At 50.5% G+C, this 5,708-nt stretch overlaps 1 annotated feature.

Annotated features, from left to right (window-relative positions):
• Positions 327-488: a silencer, noted in NCBI's record as "fragment chr2:15886207-15886368 (GRCh37/hg19 assembly coordinates)". NCBI's record gives its function as "represses an EF-1alpha promoter that drives an FKBP-Casp9 reporter gene in an ReSE screen in HepG2 liver carcinoma cells {active_cell/tissue: HepG2}" and the evidence as "EXISTENCE:reporter gene assay evidence [ECO:0000049][PMID:32094911]".

Genomic DNA, 5,708 nt, shown 5'->3' on the forward strand with positions numbered 1-5,708 from the left:
AGAAACTGAGGCACAGAGGGGTTTAGCGACTTGTCCAAACTCATGCAACTAGTGCAGGGGCAGCGAGGAAGCTGGCTCTGGTGCTCTGCAAGCAGGGCTTCTGAGGTCATCTGAGCCACCTGCCCTCCTAGGTGACTCTGCCTCTCCCCTGTCACTCCTCCCCAGAATCCTGCCTTAGATCTGCTTCACTTTCCTTTAAGGACACCGAATCAGTAGGTGGGGCCTTGTTGGAATTAGTGACATTGGCAAGGTGCTTTCACAGAGCAAGGCTTAGGTGCCAAGCCCCCACCTCGAGTGTCCTGCCCCTGCTGAGGGCTTTGCCTCGGCCTGGCCTCCCATCCTGCTGTCCTGGCCTCCTTCCAAAGGCCACATCCTCTCAAGGTCTGGAGACCAGAAGCTCTTCCCAGCTCAGATGGGACCCCGCTGAGGGGAGGCCCAGGCAGGCATGACAACGCAGTCTAAAATTACCTCTATTGAAGGCTGTGCACCCTCCACCCTTCCTGCATTCCTCCCCTAGCCTGGAACAGCCCAGAGAGAGAGCTTTGAGGATTTTGGTGATTTACATTGAAGGTTGTGCTCCTGGCCACTGGGCTGCCTTGAGGGCTGAAGTGTAAGGAGGGCTCCCAGAAGATGCAGCCCTGCCTGAGGCAGGCTTAAGGGAGAGGCTGGGGTGCTCTGCCCCGGAGTCTTCCTTTGAGCAATGGAGGGTTCTCTGGGCTTCTGTGTTCCTTCTTTCTGGATCACCTTTTGCCTGGCAAACTTCTGTTTATATACAGCCTTTAGCCTAAATGCTGCTTCCTCCAGGAAGCCTTCCTTGCATGCTTTCCTCCTACACCAGTCTTGATTGCAGGCCTTTCCCAATTGAATGCTCTCCCCATCAAAGAACTTTTCTCACTGTTCAGCACCTGCCTGTCTGTGAATCTGTCTCCTAGAGAAAAAGGACCATATTGTGTTCACTGCAGAATTCCAAATCCCTAGCAGAGTGCCCGACATGTAAGATATACTCAGTACATGTTTCTTGAATTAATTAATTCAAGCAAAGACGTCAAGGGTGAAGACTGAATAATATATTTTTCTTTGTGATCTAGCTTTATGGTACTCATAGACAAAAGGAATTTAAATAGCCCAATGTTCAGGTATTAAATGAGGAAACATACCTTTTAAAAGATGTTATTTTATGGTGTGCAAACCTTCAATTATTTCTGCTGATGTCTAAACTTCATTCAGAATGAGATATTTGAGACACAATTTTAGGGTGTCATTACTGGCAGTTCTTGAAGAGGTCTTTATCTCTATTTTACAAATAAGGAAATGGAGGTTCAGAGAGTTTAGTAACTGGCTAAGGGGACACAGTCAGGAAATGTTAGCTTTGGGGCTGTCTTATGGTTTATAAGGGATTTGTGGCTCTTTCCTGGGGCTTTTGTACAGCACAGAAGACATACAGGTGCTCACACAATGACAAATCACTGGGATAAGTACAGAGACAGAGGGAAGGGACAGTACCACGAGAGCCTGAGGGAAGAGGGAACTGACTGTGGACAGTTTGCCCCATGGGCCAGGGCGGGAAAGGCATGGGGAACAGCATGTGCCAGGTAAGGAGGCCTGACACTGCAAGGCTTTCCAAGGGAACCACAGCTGTCTACCTACCGCACAGGCAGCTGCTGTTGCAATGAAATGAGACAAAGGCTTGTTGGATGAGACAACGCTAACATTGCTTTTGCCATCTTATAGAGGGAGGGTCTAGCTGTTGAGCCATCAGCTCTTCCACTGTTATGAATATATTCCCCTCCCTCAACAACAGTCAAACCCATCAACTCTTTTTACCCTCTTTACCCTCAAATAAGCCGCATTTCCTGAAAGCCCGGATTTCTGGAAGTATGAAAGCTTTGCCAAGATGTGGAGAACAGCCCTCCTGCTCTGTCTTTGGCTTGTCCTGCCTGGCCACCTTCCCGCCCTCCAGGCTGTGTCTTTCCTTCCAGCCATCCATCTTGGCCCCTGGGCAGGTCAGGGCAGACCCTTCTCTGGCCTGCCTTGGGGTCTCTCTCTGGAGACGAGTGATGAATGTGTGGAGGGATTAGCCCTACTTTTCCGGGCCCTGGTGGTGCCAGGAGCAAGCACATTCCAGAAAGGCCTGAGCTGATGGATGCCTTGGGGCGGGGGGAGGGGGAGGTTTTCGGGAGAGGAGAGGCCCTAGAGTTTGGGAGGGGGATTCCTAACATTCCTAGGGCTGGGAGGCCCTGCAGTGCCTGCAGCAGTGATGGACAGACAGCTGAGAGAGCCGGCCCCGACCAGGGTGCGGGCTGGGGGGCGCCTTGATCTGCACCTCCTGCCCCCTCCCCACCTCAGCCCCCTGGAATGTTATCTTTCCTCTAATCACTTGCAGGCAGGGAAGAATGAGGTGGGGGCACCTGCCTACTGTGCCCCCTCAGAGGTAGCTTTGCCTCTTTCTGTCTCAGGGGGTGGGGTGGGGGCTGAGTGGTCCGGGGAGGAGGCTTGCGGCCTGTCAGGGCTGGAAGGGAGGGCGCTGGCCCCCTGCACCCACCCACATGCATTGCAGATGAGACCTGGCACGGGGAAGGGGTGTCCAGCCTCACCGCTTCCCAGCTGGGAAGGCTCTGAGGACTTTGCCTCACCCACGCCCTTTATTTTGTGGCTGAAGGGTCTTCAGCTCCAGGGCACATAACAGAGAGTTAGAGGCAAAGTCATGACTGGAACCCAGGACTTCTGATTGTTTATCTCATGATCAAACATCCTAACAGATACCGCTCTCCCTGGGCCTCAGTTTCCCCAAATGTAGAAGTGAGTGGGTTGGACACAAGGGTCTTTGAAGGCTGCTGTTTCTGATGTCCTTGGCCCTCTAAGAACCCCATCAGCCACTTGCACTGGTGGTGGCGTATGGTGGCTGCGTGCGGAAAGAAGGGAGAGTGACAGTTTAGCCATCTCATCCTCTTTCTCCAAAGAGGTCTTCAAAAAGTCTTGGAGGGAGGGGAGCCCTTGAAGTCTACTTCATCGGAACCCGAGCTGCTGAAGCAGCCAGCAAAGTGGGAAAGCATCAATTCCTACTTCCACGGCTCTGCAACTGTGGGACCTTGTGCAAGCCTCAATCTCTTATGAGCCTGGGATTCCTAAACCGCAAACGGGTTAATAACAGCGCCCCCTCCTGGCTGCTGTAAGGCTGGAGCAGTTTCTCCCCATGCTCCTCCTCTTGGCTGCCCCCTGGCTCGACCTCCCCTGCCCACTCTTGCTCTTGTCCGCTGCCTGCTGAGCCTTCACAAGGGTCTCTGAAGTGCTGTCCAGACAAGGCCGCCAGGAGCCTTGGAGTTCCCAAGACAGCATGGAGTTCTGCGGTGGTTCTTTTCCACAAGACACCTTGTTTATTATTATATGCAACTTCATTTTCATGTCTTTTAATACTTTTCACAAAGAAAGCTTTTGCAAATTGGAGGAGAAAACTATAGTCTGTGGTATTTCACCTGCCCTGGGCTAGGCCCCCGGAGTGCCTTCCTTTAAGCCAAGACAGCTACTCGCATTTCTCACTGAATCCTCTTGGCAGTCCCCCAAAAGCAGGTATTTCTCCCCATCTGAGGGATGAAGAAACTGAGGCCGAGGGAGACTTGGACTCACACAAAGTCACACAACTAGTCTGAGGCTGAGCTGGGGTTTCTTATGAAGTAGCTGGGTGAGGCTGTGTGTTTGTTGTTTTAATGCAGAGGAGAATGTCCCCAGCTGCACTTCAAATCCCATCCTGAACTTGGACAAGCAAGAACTGTCATCTTGTGGGCACCACATGATTTCCTTAAAGACAATTGGCCTGGACCTATAAGTTGCTTTTAAATTTTTAATATTCTAGGTAATGCTGGCATGATCATTTTCATACATCCATTCACAGTATGTGCAAAATGCCTGCTGCTTGCTAAGCACTGTGTTGGCTGAATACCCCAGGCTAAGGCCCTGCAGGGCTGGAAGGGGGAAAACAACTCGATTTCACTTCTGAAAATGGCTGGGCAGGAAGGAACTGAAAGAGGAGGCCATGCCTGTGCCAGGGTGTTATGTTTGTGCCCATGCCTGACTTGCCCGCCCCTCCAATGTGCCTGCCACTGTGCTGTGTACACTTTGCTGTTCTGGAAGTATTTATTATGCTTCAGAGACACCAGAGAGCCCAGGGCAGGCTGGTTCTACTTTTCTGCAACCAGGGAGGTAAAGACTGCATCTAGTTAGGGGTAGCGAGCCTGGAATATCAGCTGGAAAAAGCAGTGGAGATTCTTGCCGTTGTCCCTATCACAGCTTTCTGAAGCCCTTCAAAGGAGCAGCGTGCTGGCTGGACGGTACTATACCCATGACCTCATCTCCTTTGCTGTCCTCCTTTTTCTGGTCAAATCAAACAAAAACAAAACATTCGCCAACATTATATTTAGAGGCTGTTGTATATTAAGAGGAGCAATTGTGAGGAAATCTAAAATTAGCCCAACATTAATCAGGACCTGTCACCAAAGTAGATGACTCAGTTTCCAATTCCACATGTCACGCTCTTAGAGACAGACCTTAGTGACACTGAGGAAGCCCAGCGCTAGGACATTGTATGACTGCTGGCAGTGGTATAAAGTGCACTTGCTGCAGAGTCGGGCGGGCCTGGGTTTGACTCCTGGCTCTGACCCTTGCTAGCTTCAGATCCAAGGAGTGCCTTCTTAACCTCTTTAACCTCAGTTTCTCCATGTGACAGGAGAGGCTGAAAGCACCCACAGCATTGTTGTGACAGTTAGATAAGATAACATATGTAAAGGATGACCACGTATAGTTCCTGGTGCAATGGTCCTTTTAAAATGCTGTTTTCCCTCCCCCAGCAAGGCTGTAGTTCCTGAAACCAACTCAGAGTAGCAGCCAGGGCAGTCCTGAAAAGAACCATCTCCACTTGGGAACCATCAATCACCTCTCCCTTTTCAAAGTGCCGCAGACTCTCGGAGAGAGAAAAGACCTTCCATATTGTTTACTCCAACCTCAATGCCTGGATGCCTTCCACTATGTTCTTCTGCTTACATACCCCTTGATGATGGGAGGCTCACTATTTCTTGCTCATTCTGTTTTTTAATGGTTATTAAACTCTTCTCTGTTTTGAACCAAAATATACCTCTTTATAGCTTTTCCTCTTGGATGAGCTCACAAGTATAGGCCCTGCCTGCCTCCAGCCTACTGCCCTGCATATTCCAGGGCTGGGGCCCCATAACCTTTGCCAGTGAGCCCCAGCCAGACCCAGTATCCAGGACGAGGCCTAACTGAAGGGAGGAGGGATTGACAGGATTCCAGCCTGGGATCCTAGGCCGGGACCTAGCCATGGCCTTGTGCCCCAGTCCTGCCTTTTCTCAGCCATGAGACTCAGGCCTCACCTTACCTGACTCATTCAATCCAGCAAACGTTACTGGGGCTACCTCCTTTACACTGGGCACTGCAGATGCAAATTACTAACAGCTCTCCCATGCCTCCCTATGTCCCAAGGCATGCCAGTGACACTATGGGACAGTGGCAGCTCACAACATGGGCAGACTTGGGCTCAAATTCTAGCTCTACAATTTCCTGTGTGTGATTTTGAACAAATGTCTTGTCCTATTGGAGATTATGTGCCTTCTGCTCTTTAACCAGAGATTGGATTAAATAATTTTAAGGAGCTCATTCTTTTAAAACACTGGGGAATATATTCTAGCTAGAGATGTGAG

Source organism: Homo sapiens, chromosome 2 (genome assembly GCF_000001405.40).
Source record: "Homo sapiens chromosome 2, GRCh38.p14 Primary Assembly".
In the NCBI taxonomy this organism is placed as follows: domain Eukaryota; kingdom Metazoa; phylum Chordata; class Mammalia; order Primates; family Hominidae; genus Homo; species Homo sapiens.